The following is a 24,471-nucleotide window of genomic DNA, read 5'->3' as shown; positions in this document are numbered from 1 at the left end:
TGACCTCAGGTGATCCACCCGCCTGGGCCTCCCAAAGTACTGGGATTACAGGCATGCACCACCGCACCTGACCCAGTGGTGGATTATTTCTTACTGCTTATGTATGTCTACATTTTCTTTTGTTTTGGTTGCTATATTAATTTCTTTGGTGTGTATAGACTTATAATGTGATATCTTTTATTGGACATTGGCAGTTATAGCATTAAAATGTCATTGTGTTGTTTAATGCACATTGGCCAGAATTCCACCTACTTAGATAAAATATATGATGCCTGCTTTCTTTTGTTTGCAATTACATGACATACTTTTAAAAACTGTGTATACTTAAGGTATATAGCCTGTTTCGATATACAGTACATAGTAAACTGATTACTACAACCAAGCAAATTAACATACCCATCACCTTACATAGTTAATTTCTTTTATGGTAAGAGTGCCTGAACTCTACCCTTTTAGCAAATTTCCACTATACAATACAGTGTTATTAAACTATAGACATGCCATACATTAGATCTGTATGCTTATTCATCTCATAACTGTAATTTTGTACCCTTGAACCTACATCTCCTCATTCCCCCTGCCATGACCCATAGCCACGATTCTACTCTGTTTCTATGTGTTCAACTTAAAAAGAAATTCCACGTATAAATGAGATTACGCAGTATTTTTCTTTCTGTCTCTGGCTTATTTCACTCAGCATAATGTCCCCTAAGTTCACACATATTGTCAAAATGGCAGGATCTCTGTTTTAAGGCTGACTAGTATTCCATTGTATATATCTACCACATTTTCTTTATCCATTCAACTGTCATTGGACACTAAGGTTGACTAATATCTTGGCTATTGTGACTAATGCTGCAATGAACATTGGAGTGAAGATATCTCTTTGACATACTAATGGAATTTCCTTTGGATATATACCCAGAAGTGGGACTGCTGGATCATATGGTAGTTCTATTTTTAATTTTTTTTTTTATTTGAGATGGAGTCTTGCTCTGTCGCCCAGGCTGGAGTGCAGGGGTGTGATCTTGGCTCACTGCAACCTCCGCCTCCCGGGTTCAAGTGACTCTCCTGCCTCAGCTTCTTGTGTAGCTGGGATTACAGGTGCCTGCCACCATGCCCGGCTAATTTTCGTATTTTTAGTAGAGATGGGGTTTCATCATGTTGGCCAGGCTGGCCTCGAACTCCTGACCTCAAGTGATCCACCCACCTCTGCCACCCACAGTGTTGGGATTACAGGCGTAAGCCACCGCACCTGGTCCTATTTTTAATTTTTAGAGGAAGCTCCATATGTTTTCCATAATAGCTGTACTAATTTACATTCTCATCCACAGTGCACAAGAATTCCTTTCTAGCCACAACCTTGTCAACACTCGTCATCTCTTGTCTTTTTGATAATAGAGATTCTAACAGGTGTGAGGTGATACCTCATTGTGGTTTTGATTTGCATTTCTCTGATGATTAGTAATGTTGAACATTTTTGCATATGCCTGTTGGCCATTTTTAAGTATTTTTTGAGAAATATCTTCCCAGGTCTTCTTTCCCAGTCTTTTTCCTTTTAATAGGTGAGTTTAGCCTACTTATATTTATTGATATGATTAATATAGTTGGCCTTAGTCTGTTTTTTAAAAATATTATTACACGATTCCATAGGTTTAAAAAACTTTCACCTCAGGTTTTTTTTGTGTCTAATATTTATCTTAACCTAATGGTGTTTTAAAAAATTTATTTCTTATGATATTTACAAAGCTTTGTATATTCTATTGGCAATCTTTGTAACTTTACTCAATGCACTATACCTTCTTTCTTTTGATGATACTAAGAAATGATAAAATTTGTGTACATTGTCTTCCTCTCTGCTCCTCTGCCTCTCTTTACCATACAATATTGGTTAATTACATGCTTTTTATTAGTGTTCACCTTGGGAATACCACTGTCTATCTAATCTATGGATTTGTCCGTTGTTGTTGTTTTTTCCAGAGACAAGTCTCCCTCTGTTGCCCAGGCTGGAGTGTAGTGGCACAATCATAGCTCATTTAAGCCTTGATCTCTCAGGCTCACGCTATCCTCCCACTTCAGCCTCCTGAGTAGCTGGGACTGCCTACAGGTGCATGCTACCATGCTCAGGTAATTTTTATTTTTTATTTTTTTTTTGAGACAGAGTCTCACTGTCGCCCAGGCGGGAGTGCAATGGTGTGATCTCAGCTCACTGCAACTTCCACCTCCAGGATTCAAGTGATTCTCCTGCCTCAGCCTCCCGAGTAGCTGGGATTACAAGTGCCCACCACCACGCCCAGCTAAACGCTCAGCTAATTTTTTAAAAAAAATTTTAATAGAGACAGAGTCTCACTATGTTGCCCAGGCTGGTCTCAAACTCCTGAGCTCAAGGGATCCTCCTGCCTCGGCCTCCCAAAGTGTTGGGATTATAGGTGTGAGCCACCATGCCCGGCCAAAGATTCATCAGCTTTAAATGACATCCTTTGACTTTTAGCTATTTCTCTTTACAGTTCTATTGTTTTCACTTTATGTATTTTGAAACTGTTTACTCATTTAAGATTATCACATATTTTTGCTTAATTGATCTTTTTATTATTATATGATATCGCTCTTTATCCCTGGTGATAGTCCTTGTTCTGAAATCTTTTTCGCCAATATTACCATAGTCCTTCTGGCTTTTAAAAAAAAGTTGTTTTTCTTGTCTTTGTTTTACAGTGTATAATGTTTCTGTTTTCTCTGATTGCCTTAAGATACTTTTCTTTATCTTTGGTTTTCAGCAGTTTGACTATAATTTATCTAGTTTTTCTTGACTTCTGCATGGATTTTTCTGAGGTTCTTAGATTTCTGGTTTGTTGCATTATATTAATGTAACAAAATTCTTGGCTATTATTTCTCCAGCTTGTCTTCTGTCCTGTTCTTCCTCTATTCTTTTTCTGTGACTCCATTTACACATTTGTTAGACAATTGTATTATCCTGCAGCTTTTGGATTCTGTTTTGCCTTTATTTTTGTCTCTTTTTCTTTCGTTTCAATTTGAAAGCTTTCTATGACATATCTTCAAGGTTGTTGATTCTTTCCTTAGCTGTGTTCATTCTGCTGCTAAGGCTGTTGAAATAATTTTTTGTTTCTCTTTTGTAGTTTCCATCTTTTTGCTGACATTTTCTTTATGTTCGTGCATATTATCCATCTTTCCACTATATTACTTAACTTATTAATCATAAGCATTTTAATGTCTCTGTTTGGAAGTTGTAAAATCTGAGTTATTGCTGGTTCTGGTTCTGTTGATTGCTTTATAATTTGACATGAACTTCTTTTTCCTTATGCTTTTGGGGATGGGGCTGTCTCAGCTTTGCTGTTCCCCCTTCTCCAGAAGCCAAACTCTCATAAGAGCATTTCCTGCCGTGATACAAATGGGCACTACCCACTGCTTTGATCAGTGCAAGATCCTGGGCTGGAGTGGTTTTTTTTTTTGTTGGTACCCTGGGGCAGAATGCTCTAGTTTCTATTCCTCCTATGGAAGTAATGGACCTTTGCCTGGTCCCTGGGTGCAGGAGGATTTTCTGTCCCACTCCCAAAGGCTTGATGCTTTTGTTCCCTGAGACGGGTGAGTTTAGAGAAGAAGGTGGAGTTTTGTGTTGTGCTACCAATGAGGGCTCTGTCTGGTTTCCTTACCTACTCCTAGTTTTTCTTGTGGTTGGTGGAGATCAGTGAAAAAGAGCCTGTTAAAGATAGCTAAATCCCCTTGCATATGGGGTTCCCAGTTCTTTTAAAGCACTATAGTAGCCCACACTTAAGCTTACAAGTTTATTAAAGTTTTAGTTTTCTTTGTACCTGCTTTCACGCCAGCCAACTCTTCATCCTGTGCTCTGCCAAAGGTGAAATAGTATGTATGTCCCACATCTTCTTGTTGCTTGTTAGAATTCCATTTATTTGGCTACCTTATGACTGTAGCCTACTGATGGGCTCCACAAAATTATGACTTTGTAGATTACAAAGCTCTTTCTTATAGGTAGAGAGGAAGTACTGCTGTCTTGTGGCTTTCTATATCTTAATCAGTATTATAGGAATGGAAATGTAATATATGTAGTCTTCTGTGACTTTTTCTTGAGTAATTCATATGTGCTTGAAATTGAGTCATGTTGATTGAAGTATTGATAATTCATTCATTTTCACTGCTGTGTGTATGCGTGTGTGTGTGTGTGTGTGATCACATTTTACTTTTCCATTCTTTTCCATGTCTTCTAGTACTTTGCACTATTATGTATTCCCATCGTCTTCTATATTTTCAAGCTTTTCATATTGACTTCTTTGGCTAATAAATAAACTTGCTTAATTTCATCTCAAAAGAAAAGTTTACTTTATTCTTGACTTTTAGTTCACCTTTGGCTATTGCCATATCTGTCCTTATGCTTGCTTATTACTTATATTTCTTTTTTTTTGAATTTTACAACTTTTATTGTGGCATTTACAGTTTCTCATTGCTTTGCAAGAACTAATATAGGTTTCAGTTTATTGTCCTGCAAATACCTTAGAAGCATAATTTCCTGGGCTGTCATCTGTCTCTTTAGTTTGTATGTATTTTTCCCCTAAATCAGAGTTAAAATGATGTTTGGCCAAGAAATCTGTCAGATTTTCTAGTTCATACTGTGCTAAATGAAAGTTCATGCAAGGTAAGAATAGTATCATTAGTTATAAAAAGGTAAATAATTATAAAGCAAAGTATTATTATTACTAGAATTAAAATCAGGATAATATTCACTATCAGGAATTCATATGGAATAAGTTGTTTTGGATAGCTAGAATTTACATATGAAAACTTTAGTAACAAAATTTTTAATTTTATATTTTTAATTTTAATTTTTTTAGTAATACATCTTAATCATTTTGATGTTTATCTGAAGTATATTGTATATTTTCTTGCCTTTTTGTAAACAAAGGCAAGGTTTATTATTGCTTGTGCATAATACTGCACACAGTTGCTTCTGTCTAAATGCACACATTTTAATTGCTAATTATGTAAATATTGTTCAATTGTGTTTAATTACTAAGTTGGGATTACAGAGGCTGTAATAGATGCTAATGTATTCATTTGAACCAAAATTCAATTTTAATGAGGGATGTTGAACTTAATTTGCCCTTTCCTTTATGGCTTTAGCTTGTTTTCAATGTACAGTACAGTATTATACTGTCATACCAAAATGCCTACTGGACTTAGTAACTTTTCAGAATGTTTGTTTTTTTCTGAGAGGTTGCAGATTAGTACAGTTTGAATTACTGTCATTGCTTTTTATAGCATTTCTCACTTATGCTTTTTTATCAAGTTGATAGTTGTTACTTCTGACTACAATCAATGCTTCTGACTCTAACTTTTCCTCTTCCTTTTAATTTGACATTTGTAATCTGCTATGAGCTTAGAAATCAAACAACCAACTTCTGAGAATTTCTTATAAAATAAGAGACAGAGGGAGTTTTCATATGATACAGCATATGGCAGTTTGTTGATTGAACTTGTTAGTAGTTATTTTGGTTATTTCTTTCTTTTATTTTTCACTTGTGTTCTAAATAGGCAAATTTACTGGATGGTTGAGTTCTAAATGGTGGAGTGATACTTATTACTACAAGCAAAGCTACTTTGTAAAATATTCCATGGAACATATTTTATCATGATTAGTTTTTGAAAAATAAATGCTAAATATCATATTCTTATTATTCAGAATTCTAGAGTGAAATTAAAACAACTTAGTCTTTCTGTACCAAATTAGTAGGTGAGTATACCAGCAGGGAAAGGGGGAGATGTTACATAGATGTGGTGACATTCCTTCTGTGTTTCTTCTTCCTGGCTCCAGTATATATATATATATATATATTTTTTTTGAGATGTTTTATTTTGCTGAGAGTTTAGAGATGTTAGTTTAGATAATGTAGATGTTTAACATAAAAATCATGTTAAAGCAGTTTGAGGAAATGTGATATGATACTAAAACCCTTATCATTTTTAAGAAAAACTAAAACAATCTTATATCTGGAATGAATTAGGTAAAAACAGAAAATTTAGTTGAGTTCTTTAAAAAAAGACAGAATCGCTTACAGCCAATGTAGTCTTGGCATGTGTTGACAGAGAGGTTTATCAGGTAAACGGGTGAGGACGTTATTCATCAGGACTCTGAAAAAGGAAAAGACAAACAAGTCACATTTTTCTGGTTCTCTTCTCATCTTGGGTCAAACATGGTATTATTATTATTCTTATGAAACCCACAAATCCACTAAATTAGTTGTTTTTTCCTTCTAATTTTTTTTTTTTTTTTGAGATGGAGGCACTCAGGCTGGAGTGGTGTGACACGATCTCAGCTCATGGAAACCTCTGCCTCCCAGGTTCAAGTGATTTTCCTGCCTCGGCCCTCCGAGCAGCTGGGGTTACAGGCATGTGCCACCATACCCAGCTAATTTTTGTATTTTTAGTAGAGGCGGGGTTTCACCATGTTAGCCAGGCTGGTCTCAAACTCTTGACCTCAAATGATCCACCCACCTCGGACTCCCAAAGTGCTGGGATTGCAGGCGTGAGCCACCATGCCCAGCCTTCCCTCTAATTTTATTTAAATTATAATTTAATTATAATCTAACTATATTTAATTATAATCTAATTATATGTAAATACTTGATAGTAATAAAATTTTAACAAATATAAGTTATTATATGGAGGAAAGCAGTAATGTTAGTAACTAAAAAAAAAAAAAAAAAAATAGCCTAAACCCGTCAACAACAAATGGTGGAAAGGAGATGATTTAAAGGCATTTTTTTTCTTTACCAAGATTAATGTAGGCACACCTTGTTTTATTTTTATTTATTTATTTATTTATTTCGTTTGAGACAGAGTCTTGCTCTGTCTGCCCAGGCTGGAGTGCAGTGGTGCAATCTTGGCTCACTGCAACCTCTGCTTCCCAGGTTCAAGCAATTCTCCTGCCTCAGCCTCCTGAGTAGCTGGGATTACAGACGCCTGCCACGATGCCCGGCTATTTTTTTCTTTTTATATTTTTAGTGGAGATGGGGTTTCACCATGTTGGCCAGGCTAGTCTTGAACTCCTGACCTCAGGTGATCTGCCCACCTCGGCCTCCCAAAGTGCTGTGATTACAGGTGTGAGCCACTGCACCTGGCCCACCTTGTTTTATTGTGTTTTGCTTTATTGCACTTTGCAGATAGTGCATTTTTTAAAATTGAAGGTTTGTGGCAACCTTGCATTGAGCAAGTCTATGAATGCCATTTCTCCAATAGCATGTGCCCACTTAGTGTGTCTGTGTCATATTTTGGTAATTCTCAGAGTATTTCAAACTTTTTCCTTTTTTTGAGTCAGGGTCTTGCCTTGTTGTCCAGGCTGAAGTGCAGTGGTGCGACCATGGTGCACTGCAGCCTCAAACTCCTGAGCTCAGGTGATTCTCCTGTCTCAGCCCCCTGAGTAGCTGGGACTACAGGCATGTGTCGCCATGCTCTGCTAACTAAAAACAATTTTTTTTTTTGGTAGAGATGGGGTCTTGCTATATTGCCCAGGCTGGTCTCAAACTCCTGGCTGCAAGCTATCCTCTCTCCTCAATCTCCCAAAGCATGAGATTACAGACGTGAGCCACCCTGCCCAGCCATCAAACTTTTTATTATTATATTGTTTGTGGTGATCTGTGATCAGTGATCTTTGATGTTACTATCGCAGTAGTTTTGTGGTGTCACAAACCATGCCCATAGAAGACAGCAATCTTTTTTTTTTTTTGAGACAAAGTTTCACTCTTGTTGCCCAGGCTGGAGTGCAATGGTGCAATCTCGGCTCACTGCAACCTCCACCTCCCAGGTTCAAGCGATTCTCCTGCCTCAGCTTCCCAAGTACCTGGGGATATAGGCATGTGCCACCACACCCAGCTAATTTTCTATTTTTAGTAGAGATGGAGTTTCAGCATGTTGGTCAGGCTGGTCTTGAACTCCTGACCTCAGATGATCTGCCCGCCTTGGCATCCCAAAGTGCTAGGATTACAGGCATGAGCCACCCCACCCAGCCAAGACAGCTATCTTAATCAATAAATGTTGTGTGTGTTCTGACTACTCCACCAACCAGCCATTCCCCCATATCTCTCTCCTCAGGCCTTTTTATTCCCTGAAACACAACAATATTGAAATTAAGCCAATTAATGACCTTACAATGGCTTCTAAGTGTTCAAATGAAAGGAAGAGTCCCACAAGAATTATGGGCCCTCAAGAATTATGTTAAATCTACTCTGCCTGTGCTCTACAATGGAACAACAAAGTCTGAATGACAGCACATCTGTTTACAGCATGGTTAACTAAATATTTTAAACCCACTCTTGAGACCTACTTCTCAGAAAAAAAAAGGTTTTCTTTCAAGATATACTGCTCGCATACCTCCTCACCTTAAATCAAAAGCTAGAAATGATTAAACATAGTAAGGAAGGCATTTTGAAAGCTGAGATAAGTCAAAAAACCAGGCCTCATGCACCAGTTAGCCGAATTGTGAATGCTAAGGACAATTCTTGAAGGAAATTAGAAGTGCTACTCCAATGAACACACAAATGATAGGAAAGTAAGACAGCCTTATTGCTGATGGAAAAAGTTTTAGTGGTCTGGATAGAAGATTAAACCAGCCACATCATTCCTTTAAGCCAAAGCCTAATCCAGAGCAAGGCCTAACTCTGCTTCATTCTATGAAGGCTGAGAGAGGTGAAGGAGCTGCAGAATAAAAGTTTAAAGCTAGCAGATGTTGATTCATAAGGAAAGGAAAGAAGCTGTCTCTATAACAGAAAATTACAAAGTGAAGCAGGAAGTACTAATAGAGAAGCTGCGGCAAGTTATCCAGAAGATCTAGCTAAGATCATTCATGAAGGTGGTTCCACTAAACAACAGATTTTCAATGTAGATGAAACAACCTTCTATTGAAAAAATATTCCATACAAGACTTTCATAGCTAGAGAGGAGAAGTCAATACCTGGCTTCAAAGCTTCAAAGGACAAGCTGACTGTCTTGTTGGAGGCAAATGCAGCTGGTGACTTTAAGTGGAAGTCAACGCTCATTTACTGTTCCAAAAATCCTAGGGCCCTCAAGAATTACGCTAAATCTACTCTGCCTGTGCTCCATCAATGGAACAACAAAGCCTGGGTGACAGCACATCTGTTTACAGCATGGTTTACTAAACATTTTAAGCCCACTCTTGGGACCTACTGCTCAGAAAAAAAAGATTTCCTTTCAAGATACACTGCTCACTGGCAATGCACCTGGTCACCCAAGAGATCCAGTGGAGATCTACAAGGAGATTCATGTTGTTTTCATGCCTGCTAACACGACATCCATTCTACAGCCCATGGATCAAAAGCTAATTTTAACTTTCAAGTCTTATTATTTAAGATGTACATTTTGTAAGGCTACTGATGCCACAGATAGTGATTCCTCTGACGATTTGGGCAAAGTCAATTAAAAACCTTCTAGAAAGCATTCACCATTCTAGATGCCATTAAGAACATTTGTGATTCATGAAAACAAGGTCAAAATATTCACATTAACAGGAGTTTGGAAGAAGTTGACTCCAACCCTCATGGGTGACTTTGAAGGGTTCAAGACTTCAGTGGAAGAAGTAACTGTAGAAGAAGTAGAAATAGCAAGAGAACTAGAATTAGAAGTGGAGCCTGAAGAGGTGACTGAATTGCTGCAATCTCATGATAAAACTTGAACAGATGAGGAGTTGCTTCTTATGGATGAACAAAGAAAGTGGCTTCTTGAGATGGAATCTACTCCTGGTAAAGATGCTGTAAACACTGTTGAAATGACAACAAAGTATTTAGAATATTACATAAACTTATTTGATAAAGCATTGGGAGGATTTGAGAGTATTGACTTCAATTTTGAAAGAAATTCTCTTGTGGGTAAAATGCTAGCAAATAGCATTGCATACCATAGAGAAATCTTTCATGAAATTAAAAGTCAATCAATGTAGCAAACCTCATTGTTATCTTATTTTAAGAAATTGCCACAGCCACCCCAGGCTTCAGCAACCACTACTGTGGTTAGTCAGCAGCTGTCAACATTGACATGAGACCCTTCACCAGCAAAAAGATTATGACTCGCTGAAAACTCAGATGATTGTTAGCTCTTTTTAGCAATAAAGAGTTTTAAAATTAAGGTATGCACATTTTTAAACATAATGTTATTGCACACTTAATTGAATATAGTATAGTGTAAACATAACTTTATTATGTGCACTGGGAAACCAAAAAAATTTGTGTGACTTGCTTTATTGTGACATTTGCTTTATTACAGTGGTCTGGAACAACACCCACAATATCACTGAGGTCTGCCTGTATAGACAGTAACGATGTGCTTAAGAATATTGTGATAAAGGCTGGGCGTGGTGGCTCACGCCTTAATCCCAGCACTTTGGGAGGCCAAGATGGGTGGATCATGAAGTCAGGAGTTCCAGACCAGCCTGGCCAACATGGTGAAACCCCGTCTCTACTCAAAATACAAAAGTTAGCTGGGCGTGATGGCACACACCTGTAATCCCAGCTACTTGGGAGGCTGAGCCAGGAGAATGGCTTGAACCCAGGAGGCGGGGGTTGTGGTGAGCCAAGGTCACGCCACTGCACTCCAGCCTGGGCGATACAGTGAGACTCCATGTCAAAAAAAAAAAAAAAAGAATATTGTGATAAAATATGAGTGAGAATGTATTCAGTTTTTATGGGCTGATATTCTAGAAGACAGAAAATCTTTTAAAATTGTTGGAACTATAAATAGCCTTATAGAATATGATTAAGAAAAGGTTTTTCATTGAAAAGGCCTCTTTGGGGTTTTAACAAATCCAAATTTAATGGTATTAAATTTAAGCATTAATTTTTATTCATGTCTTTGCCTTTGATTGAAATATTTGCTTTAGTTTAGTACTTACAAGAGAATAAGAGAATTTAGTCCATAAAATGTTGGTGGGGAAATTCGACTGAGGTGATTATCTTCAATTATCCTGACAGCCAGAAGAAAAAAATTAATTCATTTATATATCTCTAGAATCTAAAAACTAGTGCAATAAAATGCCACATAAATTAAACATACAGCCATTCTAGTCTGTGAAGATCTTCAAAAACACCCGGCTTCAGGAAGGTTATTCTGTTATGACTGAGATACCTGGAAAAGGAGAAATAACTACAATAAATTTGTATATTTTTGATGTCTTACAATAAGAAAAGTAAAAACAATAATCATCCATCTTAAATTTTTTACATAGCATTCTCATCATGCCACTTCCCTGCCTTTGAATCTCTAAGAATTGCTACCACTTACCTTATCATACCTAGTTTTAAATTTCCCCATAATTAATTAATCAATCTATTCATTCATCTATTCATGTATTCATTAACCTATTTTGAATACTTACCCCATGGCACTGTGCTAAGCATGCCATCCCTTTCTTTAAGGGGCTTTGAGTCTGGAGAGGCCACAGCATGTGAACAGATTACTTTGTAATGTCAGGGAAGCAGAGGGAAGTATATAATGCATGGTTGCTCTGCCATTGCAGAGGAGAAAGCACCCAGCTTTGCTAGGGGTAGGGACTGCAGAGTGTGGAGGAATGAGGAGCCAGGAGAAGGCTTTACTAAACAGAGGCACAATTGAGAAGAGTCTTGGATGAAGACATGCAATTCACAAAGCAAAGAACAGGCAGGAGCTATTCTAGGCAGAGGAAATAGCTTATGCAAAAGCAAGAGGTATGAGAGTCTGACAAGTTAAGAAATCACCAGGTAATTCAATGGGGCCTCACCATGAAGGGGCTATAAGGAGAGACAGGAGATAAACCTAGGAGGCAGGCAGGGGCCTGTTATGGACAAAAGGGCATTGCATCCCTTGCTAAAGGGTTTGACTCTGCCTTACCCATCTTTACATCCCACTCCTCTGCAAAGTGAAATAACTCTTTGTTCTATTGTGTTGATCTCCTCTTCTTGCCATGTTCACTCATGTCTCAATCTCTCTAGTGTAGCAATTCACTGCACTAAATCTGCTATCGAACAGTTTGATTCCTGACTCCTCTACTTATTAACAGTGACTTTGAGCAAGCAGTGAATTCCTGTAAGCCTCAGCTTCCCCAACTCTAAAATGGGGATAGTATCAGGATCTACTTCCTATGGTTTAATAGAGGCAATGCATGCCATAAACATTCAGTACATATTATGTTTTATAGCAGTGTCTCTGCTCACGCCTCTTACTCCAGTTTCTTCCCTCTTTCCTTTTTCTTTCTGCTTATGATTCATATGCAAGTAAGAGTTCAAGTTTCACTTCCACTAATACAAGATTCACACTGATTTCTCTCTCTTCTTCAGTCTTTCATATCTTGAGTAAACATCCTGTAGAATTTCTCCTGCCAGGAATCTGTTCTCCCTTGCTGGGTTTGACTTTTGCTCAGGGCTAGTGAGCAATGGCACCCCATGATAGAGCCTCTTCCTTCCCTCCTTTGCAAACCTGGAGCCCAGGTGGGCACAGTAAGGGGTAAGAAATGACTTACAACCTCAGGGTGTTCTCTTATACAAAAACCCTCCAGGTAAAAGACATTTGATCCACTATTGCTCCCTATGCTCACCTGTTTTGCCCAGTCCTCTTCATTTTTCAGAGCCATCCTTTACTGCTCTGGACCTGAGATAATCACTCCTTTCAGTGAACCATAATAGCAATTTTGGTTTCAGCAACACAGGTTTGGAACTTAAGTACTTTTAAAAAATGGTTCTCTAATGTTTTATATATGTTGGCATTGTTTTCCCATCTTAGATCATAAACTTCTAGAGAACAGGAGTCCTGCCTCTCCCCAGTGATAGCTCAGTGCTCTACCTGAAACGCTAAGGTATAACTACTTAAAGGGAGCCAGCCTGAGTTATCTTTCTATGCCCTCATGGTATCTAACTAAAATATGTGCACTCTGTGAGGGTTAATGAATACTTATGGATCTAATCATTGTTTAGATCCATAAATCATCAGGTATCTAATGATTATTATTATCATTTTTTGAGATGGAGTCTCACTCTGATGCCCAGGCTGGAGTGCAGTGGCGCGATCTCGGCTCACTGCAACCTCCGCCCCCCAGGTTCAAGCGATTCTCTTGCCTCACCCTCCTGAGTAGCTGGGACTACAGGCGTGTGCCACCATGCCCGGCTAATTTTTTGTATTTTTAGTAGAGACAGGGTTTCACTGTGTTAGCCAGGATGGTCTCCATCTCCTGACCTCGTGATCCTTCCACCTCAGCCTCCCAAAGTGCTGGGACTAATGATTATTTAACTAGAAATATGTGGCATCTTTAACACTCAACAACACTCCAGCACTATAGAAAAGCTATGAAAAGAGAGGGAGGACACTTTTAAGTTTACTCTCCAGTTCTGTACTGCCTTTCAAGAGCTTCCTCCACATTCACTGAACATTAAACCAAACAGATAGTGTTTAGTAAATTTTGCAAAGATATATGGAAAGAAGACAGTCAGGAGCCTGAAGAGTGAGTCCAATATTGATTCTGGGTACTTTGCTAAGACATAAAAGAGCAGAGATGGGGTAGAAGGGGAGAGGACATGGCTAAAGTGGTTACTGTTAAGGCTTCGAGTCTCCTGCAGTCTTCTTCCATTTTGCTAGTAAATTACTAGGTGCTCTTCTCGACTCAATCCCAAACTCTGATACCACAAGCCAAAAATCTGACTGGAATGGGTTTCTTGCGTTAGGATACAGAACAGTATAGGTGGAAAACAAGGGGACATAAATGGAAATACAGGGAGTTATGTATTCATGTGATTTTTGGTTATACTTCTTTCCAGTTACTTCTAGAATGCTGCATGGCAGAACTCAATAAAACGGAACATTGAGAAAGCCTTTTTTTTTAAAAGAAGCACAATGAGATACCATTCACACCCATTAGGATAGTTATTGTCAAAACAAACAAATGAAACGAGAACACAAACGTTGGTGAGGATGTGGAGAAATCGGAACTCTTGTGCAACACTAGTTGGAAAGTAAAATGGTACAGTTGCTGTGGAAAATAGTATGGCAGTCCCTTAAAAAATCAAAATCAAATCAAATGACAGTCCCTCAAAAATCAAAGAATTACCATCTGATTTAGCAATTCCAATTCTTGGTATATACCCAGAAGAAGTGAAAGTGAAAGTGGGGACCCAAACAGATATTTGTATCCCTGTGTTGATGGCAACATTATTCACAACAGCCAAAAGGTGGAAACAACCCAAATGTCCACTGACAGATAAACAGTTAAACAAAATGTGGTACATAAATACAATGGACTATTATTCAGCCCTAAAAAAGGAAATTCTGACACATGCTACAACACGTGAACATTAAAGACATTGTGCTAAGTGAAATAAACCAGACACAAAAAACTACATATTTTATGATTCTCCTTATATGAGGTACTTAAAGTAGCCAATTAATAAATACAGAAAGTAGAATGATGGTTGCCAGGGGCTGGGGAGAGGGGGAAATTGGGAGAGACAGATATGAGGAATTATTATTCAACAAATATGGAGTTTCAGTTGGGGAAGATGAAAAAGTTTTGGAGGTGGATGGTGATGATGGTTCCATAACAATGTCAATGTACTTAATGCCACTGAATGGTTTACTTAAAAACAGTTAAATGGTGAATTTTAGCTTATGTATATTTTACCACAAAAAGCTTTATTTCTTTAACCTTACAGTATTTCATGCATTTGTAAAAGTGGGATTAGTGAAGAAAGAGTAATTGAATAACTGGGGAAGTCTTTGGGTTTTTTCTTCTTCATCACAAATATCATCATCAGGCTTTTTTTTTTTCTTTGTCAGAGACAGGGTCTTGGTCTATGGCTCATGCTGGATGCTGGAGCTATTCGGGAGGCTGAGGCAGAGAATTGCTTGAACCTGGAAGGCGGAGGCTGCAGTGAGCTGAGATTGCGCCACTGCACTGCAGTCTGGGTGACAGAGAGACTCTGTCTCAAAAAAAAAAAAAAAAAAAAAAAAAAAAGAAAGGAATACAAATTGCTCAAGATCACACACCTAGTAAGTAAGGCAATCAGGACTTGGACTGAAGCCTGTCTAACTCACAATCCTATGCTCTTAGCCACGGTGCTCTACTGCCCCTTCAGCATCACTTGCATGGCTCCTTGGTACTGTCATGGACAGGGAGGCTGGTCTGGATTGGAATAGTCTAGGCTGTCAGACTACCATGGAATGGGCAAATTAATTCACACTGGTACTTACAGTTTAGTAAGGCTATTCAGTCCTCTGAAAGCATAGATGGAGATGGATGTAATCTTATTGTTTTGCAGGTACCTGTGAAAATGATTATTAAAAAGAAAAAAAAATGAAGCAGAGTTTCACTTTTGCAAGACAAAAAGAATTCTGTGGATGGATGATGGTGATGGTAGCATAGCAATATGAATGTGCTTAATGCCTCTGAAGGTAGACTTAAAAATGGTTAAGATGCCACATTTTATGTTATGTGTATTTGATGACGATTAAACATTTTAAAAATTGAAAAAGGTAAACATTACAAAATAATTTAGTGAAGCCAGATATCATGTCACTTCATGTTTCTGTTAAATTTATGTACAATTAGGCTGGTTTGTATTTAGAAATTCTAGTTATAAAGATGAATGAATAACAGCCAAAGCTTACTATTTGAATTTTCTAGAAATAAAATGTTAACACATAGTAAAGCCCTCATAAATCAGAAGTCTAGAAGCCAGACTTTTAATACGGGTCTTGTTATAATTCTTTAAACTTGTTAAGTGCTCAACACAGTGCTAGCCAACCTAAAAGTGTATGATGTTTTTAATGTCCCAAACCATATTCTATGTTAATCACAAATCTGTCAACCAAATCAATTTTGATCTCATTAATTTGACATCCAAACCTTGTTCCAAAGACTGTTTGGAGGAAATTTATAAGGAGTAAAAGTGGCAAAAGAAAAAAAACATAAAAATAATCAGGACTAGAAGAATATAAATTAGATTGGAATGTCAAGACAAGAATGCAGGCTTACATAGTTAACTAAAGTAATACTGAAAATACGACCTTGAGTTAACTGGAGGTCAAAGGAAATGGGTACCAGAGTATACGCTATTGCATCATTGCACCCACACAAAGTTTTGCACTTCTATGTGTACTTGCCCCAGATTGCGGGAATGATAAAGTAAGGATTTCAAGGCTGCCTTCATGTTCTGAGTGCAGGTCACCATTGTTCTTTAGAGTGTCCTGAAAGTTTATATGCAATTTGTTATAACTTTTAGGAGCAATAAGAAAGAAATCAATATGAGCGAACATTCAGTTAAATTATAAATTTTGACTGAAAAGTACCCTATTTCTCCAACATGCAAGAAAACCTAACTTTGATTGTGAAATGTTATTATAAAATTTATTATAGGCTGGGTGAAGTGGGTTATGCCCATAATTGCAGAGCTTTGGGAGGCCAAGGCAGGAGGATCATTTGAAACAGACCAGCCAGGCAGGGCAACATAGTGAGATCCTATCTCTCTAAAAAAAAAAAAAAAAGGAGCCAGGTGTGGTGGCACATGCCTGTAGTCCTAGCTACCTGGGAGTCTGAGGTGGGAGGATCACTTAAGTCCAGGAGTTTGAGGGTGCAATGAACTATGATCATACTACTGCACTCCAGCATGAGTGACAGAGTGAGACCCTGTCTCTTAAAAAAAAATTATTATGCACCTGAACCGGACATGCTGTGGGCCCAATCATGTAGTAGGTAATGAATGGTTCTCATTTATCATGCATTTGTTTGTTTATTTCTAGTGTTATAATGATCTACTAAGGAATAGGCTGCATTGCCTGGAGGTCTAAAGGTATAGACTTTTAATAACCAATTAGAAATTTTTAAATAATTAGGCTATTTTGATCATTTTGTTATATGGAACAAATTGGTCATTCAGGAATTAATTCATCCACATTAGTATGGTGGTTAGTTCAAAAAAGAGAATTAATTCAATGTTTATTGTGCAAAAATGCTAAGCCACTGCATTATATAAACCTGAATTTTGATATTTAGATTTGTAGTCTAGCTCCTTTAAATAAGTGGACACAAGGTGATGCTACAGAAAAATTCTTCAGTCTCCAGAAATCAGAAAATAGAATAAGTCAGTGTACTCTTGAAGTTTTGTCAGGCCTAATTGTGAAAAGTTCTTCTCTTTTGACTGATAAATGTTCAGAATGAAATTTTGAAAAGTTATTTTCATTAGAATTTCTATTTTCAAATATGAAATAGATACTTCTGCAGACTATCTGGGTTTTTAGAACATTTCACTGAAGGAAGTGGGTTAATTCTTCTTCTGATTCCACTCAATTTCCATCTGTTATCTTTAAAAATGTACAGATATATATTAATTTATCAGGTTTCCCTATTGTAAAACCAAAATAAGAACCAATCTATATTGGTATAAAAATGAAACAATGAATCCTGAGATATTTCTTAGTTAGTGTGATTTAGGTACAGACTATCTAAACCCAGCAATTCACCATATGACAACATAATTTAGTCACAAAGTAGACCTAAATAACAGGTAAACATCCCGTGGGCCAGTATGGATTTTGAGAGTTCTGAAGGGAAGCTAGCATGTCAGATACTACTCAAGGCCAAAATAAAACGCAACTCACAAGGCAGATGTGAAAATGGAATCAAGTCTCCAAGACAACATGCTCAGAGGTTTCAACCCACAGTGACTTGCTATTTTAGGTGGATAATGAATTTGAAAACACATGGAAGAAAATTCTTCACTTTCTTCATCGTGAATCTGACAAAAGAGCGTAACATTTTTCTCTAAGATGAGCATTGAGGTATTCCATGCTAGAATAACGCAGAGGATAAAAGCTTCTAAGTATCTCCGTTTTGGGGGATTGTGGTAGGAGGATTCACAGCACACATGTTCCAGTTCCTTTGGAAATATGTGTCTGAGGTTTTTCTAGAATGGTTTCTAAAATTACTCAGAAAAAATAAGTGTTACCTGGAAGTCTTCAGTTAACAGCTAAATATTTCCCTGAATAGGGATTAGACACAAGCAGCGGAATAGTGTTGGTGTTCACAGAAGTAGGAAGAAAAAGACATGGCCAAAAATGCTAGTTAATTGTAATACCAGGAATTAAGTATTTTCTTACAGCTTCTGAAGATCATGATAATTCTTGAAGCAATCAGGAGGAAGCTTTCTTATTAAGTTCCACTGAAGTGACCTGAAATAAATGTAAATTTTGATTCTTAAAGTTGTTTTTCCTTTACTTTTAAATTACAACAATAGGGATAATTACAAACTATTTACTTTAGTACTAGCTTTCAGGAAACATTTTGCTTCATAATGTCTCTCTCATATTTATCATATCACTTGAACTAGGTCTAGCTGTTAGTTTTGCACTATTAAAGCTATTCATTTTTTTAAAATTTTGGTTATGACTGTAATTCTGACAAAAAATGTTAAAAAATAAAATTGAAAAAATTGATTTTCAGTTATGTTTTTCTTTCCTATTTGTATTTAACAAACATTAGAAGGCATCTCAGTTTCTAAGTGACAATAAAAACAGTATTTTCTGTTTAAAAACACTCAAGAAATTAAATATTGTATTTCTCAATATTTCATTGCTCACATTCCACCACCTTAAAATTAGTTATGAAGGAAAACATCAATTGGTACCTATAATTGGATCATCTTTATTCAATAAGTGATTCCATTTCAACTTCTAAGAAGTTGTACAGGAAGATTTTCTTTTGTATCACAATTTAATAAGCAGTTTGACACAGACCAGATCCACATAATTTTGGTTGTACTGGAAAGGTCCCAAGTCCTTAATTTTTTGTTTTAGAACAGCAATGTAATGTAGTAAAAGCAAAATAAATGAAACAATAAAAAAACCAAAACCAGTGTAGCTGGGGATCCTTGCATGAATCACACACAACCTCTCCAAGTCAGTCTCTTTAACAGTGAAAGGAGGGATTTGGATTAGATGGTATCTAATAATATGATATTATTAGTACTATCATTATATAGTACCACGGAGCGGATACTTATAAGTGAGCAACAGACCGCATTGTCTGGAGGTTAACTTAACTCAGGTTAAGACAGTTTTATACAATAAGCACTAACAATGTTTAGGTTTTGAAGTGGTGTTGCTTAAACTTGGTGATGAATCCTTCTTAAAAAAAACTTTCTTGGACTCTTTGGAACACATTTTTGGAATCTAATTTGAGAAACACTGTTCTAGAGTCTAGAAGTCCATGCACTCTCAATGAAGGTGAGAATTGGTTCTTAAGAAAAAAAAAATCTTACTTTTTAAATGTATAATGCAGATATACACAAGAACATATATAGTATATCTGTATTATTATTATTATTATTATTATTATTATTATTATTATTGAGATGGAGTCTTACTCTGTGGCCCAGGCAGGAGTGCAGTGACATGATCTCGGCTCACTGCAACCTCTGCCTCCTGGGTTCAAGCGATTCTCCTGCCTCAGCCTCCTGAGTAGCTGGGATTACAGGCGTGCGCCACCACGCTTGGCTAATTTTTAAATTTTGAGTACAGATGGGGTTTCACCATGTTGGTCAGGCTGGTCTCGAACTCCTGACCTTGTGATCCACCTGCCTCGGCCTCCGAAAGTGCTGGGATTACAGGCGTGAGCCACTGCGCCTGTCCGTATATCTGTAGTATTAAAATTTCACAGGAGGGGACAAATAGAAAAAAAAAAGTCTAAAAAGTCTCCCTGGGGGAAGGGAAACAATAATGAAAGAAAAAAAGTTAAAAATCACTTTTCTAGACTACACATATCAGACACTTAATGGCTTTTTACATAAATAATACCAAAGGCTGATTAACAAGTAATTCCCTTTTGAAACTACTCTCAGTTGCTGGCTGTCACCAAATATTATTTCCTTGTATATATTAACTAATTGAGGAGCTCTTTTCTGCTAATGATTCTGACTTGACTTAGATTCTAAATTCTGCTTATATCCTGTTTAAATGTTTATATTGTGTCAAGATAAATTGTTAAATATTTGGATTTGGCTGGGTGCAGTGGATCACACCTATAATTCCAGTACTTTGGGAGACCAAGGTGTGAGGATCACTTGAGCCCAGGAGTTCAAGACCAGCTTGGCAACATAGTGAGACTGCCCCCCCACCGCCATCTCTACAAACAATTAAAAAAATTAGCTGGGCATGGTGGTGCATGCCAGTAGTCTCAACTACTTGGGAGGCTAAGGCAGGAGGATCACCTGAGCCTCAGAGGTCAAGGCTGCAGTGAGCTGTGATTGCACCACTGCACTCCAGCCTGGGGGGCACAGTGAGACCCTGTCTGTTTACAAAAAACAAACAAACAAAAAAACCTGAGTTTGATTTAAGGATATAGATGAAAGTTTAGTGTGTCCTTAAAAATGTGTTCTGAGAATCGCTTGAACCTGGGAGACAGAGGTTGCAGTGAGCCAAGATCGCGCCACTGCGCTCTAGCCTGGGCGACAGAGTGAGACTCTGTCTCAAAAAAAAAAAATTGTTCATTCATTCATTCATTATCTCAAAAAATGTGTTGAATGCCTGCCATTTGCACATGTTGGATACCTGCCTTTAAGAAGTTTATACTCTATTTGCACAAATTATACTTTATCTATAAATAGAGAATTTTCTTTGAATAATAACTTCAGTCTTAACAGCCCGGGGCTAATGAGGCAACCAACTTCTTTTTTTTTTTGTATTTATTTATAAATTCATTTCAATAACATTTATTTAGGGATTATTAGACTCTATTAGGAACTTTGGAGGATATATAGGCCATGGCATTTTCCTTTTTCAGGTAGATAACAGGACCTGAATCACTATAGCACAAGCAAGAATGTTTAGTATACATAAAAGAGACACAAGTGAGGTTCTACGAGAGAACCCAAGAGGAAGAGGTTAACTGCACTTGAAGGAGGAGAGTTACTATAGAGGAAAGTGAGGCTCATTGAAAGACCTCTAAGTAATGTTACTTAAAAAGTTGGGTTTTTATTAATAGTGTCTAGGATTTATAGGTTACTTCTTTCTAAATGACATAAAATATTTTGACAAATAACATTCTCTACATTTCACAATATCCTATTGGGATAGAAAGAGGTAGATGCTGTTATTCTCATTGAATAGAACAACCCAAAATATAATATAACAAATCCTTATATTTTAAAATTTGACAGTCCAACTTTGATTGTTCACAGAGTCAAAGAGGGTTTGTGTTTGTATGTGTGTGAGAGAGAAATGGCCTAGTTTAATCATTATTGTCAAAGCTAGCTCTAGTTTTTATAAAGAAAGTTCTTAGTATTAGATCATATAGTTCTAGTGATTAAATTCCAGGATCTTAAAGCCAAGTCTCAAATAGTCAAAATCAGTGTTTATCAAGCTAGAAAAAAGTAAAAATAATCATATCTATCTATGTTTGCCTGTTTTGTTCATTAGCATTTATGCGAAATGTCTTAAAAAAATCCCAACTTCAATAAACATTACTTGGAGTATTAGCTTCTTTGATACTTACATATGGTTCAGTCCTCTTCTGACATTTCCCTGTAATAGTTCCAACTCAAAGTCTGGAAAGAACTGACTAATGAAATTTGATGTTTACTTTTTAATGTATGTGCTATAAAGCATAGAGTTCTTTTTCTGTATGGAACTGAACAGACTGGGACTACGTATGAGTCTAAGCCAGTGTTCTGCAGAGAAAAGTATAAATGGACAACTGGAATCAAGTGGCTCAACCTAAAGCACAAGATAATGCTATTTTTTGAACAAAAAATAAAAAATACCGTAGACATAAACTCCTGAGCTTTATTCCTATATCTCCAAATGCCTGTTGAAGATTTCCACTGAGTGACCTGTTAATCTCACATTGGAAAAAACATCTAACATCAGAGTCCCCATCTTCCTCAGTTACTGCCACCAAGTCTCCTCATTCTCCGATCATACTGTTGCTTAGAAGGGAAACCTTGGAGTCATCTCTGACTCCTTCTTTCTTGCCTTCTTGCAGACAATCATTTACAAGGACCTGGTCCCAGTTTTTTTGTTTATACCAGGGGTTGAAAACTGGTAGGTCACAGCTTTCTGCCCACATCTCTTTATGTACGTATGTATGTGTATACTAGATCATGACAATTTTTAAAATTGAATGGGAATTAATTCAATGATTCAACCTTTGTGTGGGGCATGCCCTCTCTAGTTAGCCATTGCCTTATTCCCCTCCATTCCCCCAGCTTTCTCTCTCTGTTCTTTATTTTACAAATGTTGGTTGAATTGTTAAAGAATGGATTCAAATCTTACTCGTGGGAAAATGAAAAATGAAATTGGCTGCATCAGAATATCCTTTGATTTGGATTTTCTAGTAATTTGATACAAGCAGTGGAGAAGGATTATGATTTTTTTCTCTGAAAATAGAATGAAATCATAAATTCTTTTTTTTTTTTGAGGCAGGGTCTCACTTTGTCATCCAGGCTGGAGTGCAGTGGCTTGATCATAGCTCACTGCAGCCTTGACCTCCCAGGCTCAAGTGATCCCCTTGCCTCAGCCTCCAAGTAGCTGAGACTACAGGTGTGGGCCATCATACCTGGCTAATTTTTATTTTTTTTTGTAGTGATGGGCTCTCTCTGTGTTGCCCAGACTATTCATAAATTCTTATACTCAGAATTTCCAGTTAGAATTTAAATCAGAGAAGTGCTCCATAGGACCTCAGGTTCTTTTGGGGAATTATTACTTTTTTCTAGCAGGACTAATTGCTATGAGAAAGAGCCATGGTAAGGCAAGAAGAGGATAGAATGCTGAAGAGCTCTTCTTTTCCTTAGTTCAAGTGGAAATGTTCCCTCTTTTGGAAAACTCTGCTGATATTTTCAGTTCATATTCCCTGGCCACCACAAATTGGGTAAACTTCTCAGATCTGTGAATTCAATGGAACCACTATGCACAGGAACTCTGAGTTGTAGCTCTTACCTCATATACCAAGTATTTCAATTGCTGTATTATGTGGTTTGGTTTGAAAACGGTAACACTTGTCAATATGCATAAACTCAAGAATTACTCTTATTTTGTCCTCATATACCCAAAAGTGAGAGCCACAAGGCACTAAGGTATCTAAATGAAAAAAGAAACTCAGCAAAAATATTGGATTAAAATAGCTGTCCTCCACTAATTTCTTTTAAAAAAGTTTCAGTCAAATGTATATGTTTGTGTTGCTGAAGTTCATTGAATTCAAATTAGTACTGGAAACTAACATTACGGGTACTAGAAATCAACAAACCACTTATGGTGATAATTTTTTTACATATGTAAGTTTGAATTCCTTAAGAAAATAACAACATTAACATCTATGACTCAAAATGTGATTCAGAACAGATTTTAAATATGACGTTTTGGGAGGAATATCTTATCCAATTTACCTTATTTTCTTTTTTAACTTACACATCAGATTATATTAAAATTTGGGTCCAATAAATTCTAACAGAGTTCTTTCAATAAATGTCAAGTGAAAATTCTATATAATAGGAAAGCTCTATGTAATAGTTTAATTAGAAGCCATTTTTTCTTAGTAGCACATGCAATTGATGACTTTTTTTGTTTAGATAAAATATGGTGACACTCCATACCTTGCAGGATTATTATGAGGGGTTAATATAAAGAATAATTTAAGGTGGGGTCTAGCATTTAATAAATGCAAAATAAATATCAGTAATTATTATACCTGACCCAGGAAAAATGACATCATCTTTGAATAAAAATATATTATGAATAATCACATGGTCTTAATTATAATACAATTTTACAGGTGCTACCCAGCTGTCAGGATGAAGTAATTCTTTTCTACTTACATTGCAGTCACATTTGAAGAAACCGATGGAACAGCTCGTAAATTGGTTTCATCACAGTCAAGCTCCAGACCTTGGCAAAGACATTGCACTGGCACAGAACCGACCACTGAATCAAGGGGAAGTGGTAAGGCATGATGACAGTGAGGGACCAGGAAGAGGAGGGTAATGAAAAGAAAGAAATGAAAAGCTATGAGAAAATCATTTAGTACAAAAGCATATCATGTGCTACGTAGGCAATTTAGGCAATGCTTTAAATTAAGGCTCCAAAGTTTGCTTTTAATTTAACCTTAAAATGATGGTAGAGCATCAACATTTGGAAACACACACTAGCTCATGTATTTTTTTAAAAAAAGCAGACTGTTCTCCATTCATTGCAAAATGAATGAAATAATCTGCTCTTATTTCATTCATTTTGCAATGAATGGAGAACAGTCTGCTAAGGATTGACACGATAGTGTGTGATGAGGCTTAATGTTCATACTACAACTGCCACTTAAAAATAAAGTATTTAGTATAATCAAAACCTTTAAAGGAGGAATAAATCACTTTTAACTAGCAAGAACGAGGAGAACTAAAGGCAAATGATAGTGTCTATAGTTTTTTTTTTAAAATC

The 24,471-nt window shown here is 36.9% G+C and overlaps 1 protein-coding gene across 25 annotated transcripts in view; it reads right to left on the bottom strand.

Annotated features, from left to right (window-relative positions):
• RXFP1 (relaxin family peptide receptor 1) overlaps positions 1–24,471 on the bottom strand; it is a 131,659-nt gene that overhangs the window by 30,083 nt on the left and 77,105 nt on the right. For 13 of the 25 annotated variants that reach the window (NR_045579.2, NR_045580.2, NR_045581.2 and 10 more), the window contains 6 exons: positions 23,859–23,964; positions 18,151–18,222; positions 15,247–15,318; positions 11,089–11,160; positions 10,928–10,999; positions 6,085–6,159 (listed from right to left, as the gene is read on the bottom strand). Coding sequence is in view for 19 of the 25 variants with exons in the window: in NM_001363776.1 (NP_001350705.1) it covers positions 6,085–6,159; positions 10,928–10,999; positions 11,089–11,160; positions 15,247–15,318; positions 18,151–18,222; positions 23,859–23,964 (469 nt within the window). In the remaining 6 variants the exon portion in view is untranslated. Of the gene's footprint in view, positions 1–6,084; positions 6,160–10,927; positions 11,000–11,088; positions 11,161–12,604; positions 12,658–15,246; positions 15,319–16,158; positions 16,429–18,150; positions 18,223–23,858; positions 24,046–24,471 lie in introns of those variants that run through there. The other 12 variants (NR_045582.2, NR_045583.2, XM_011532179.3 and 9 more) reach the window with 4 other exon arrangements.

This window comes from Homo sapiens, chromosome 4 (genome assembly GCF_000001405.40).
Source record: "Homo sapiens chromosome 4, GRCh38.p14 Primary Assembly".
Classification (NCBI taxonomy): Eukaryota; Metazoa; Chordata; class Mammalia; order Primates; family Hominidae; genus Homo; species Homo sapiens.
This window is presented reverse-complemented; position numbering and strand designations above follow the sequence as displayed.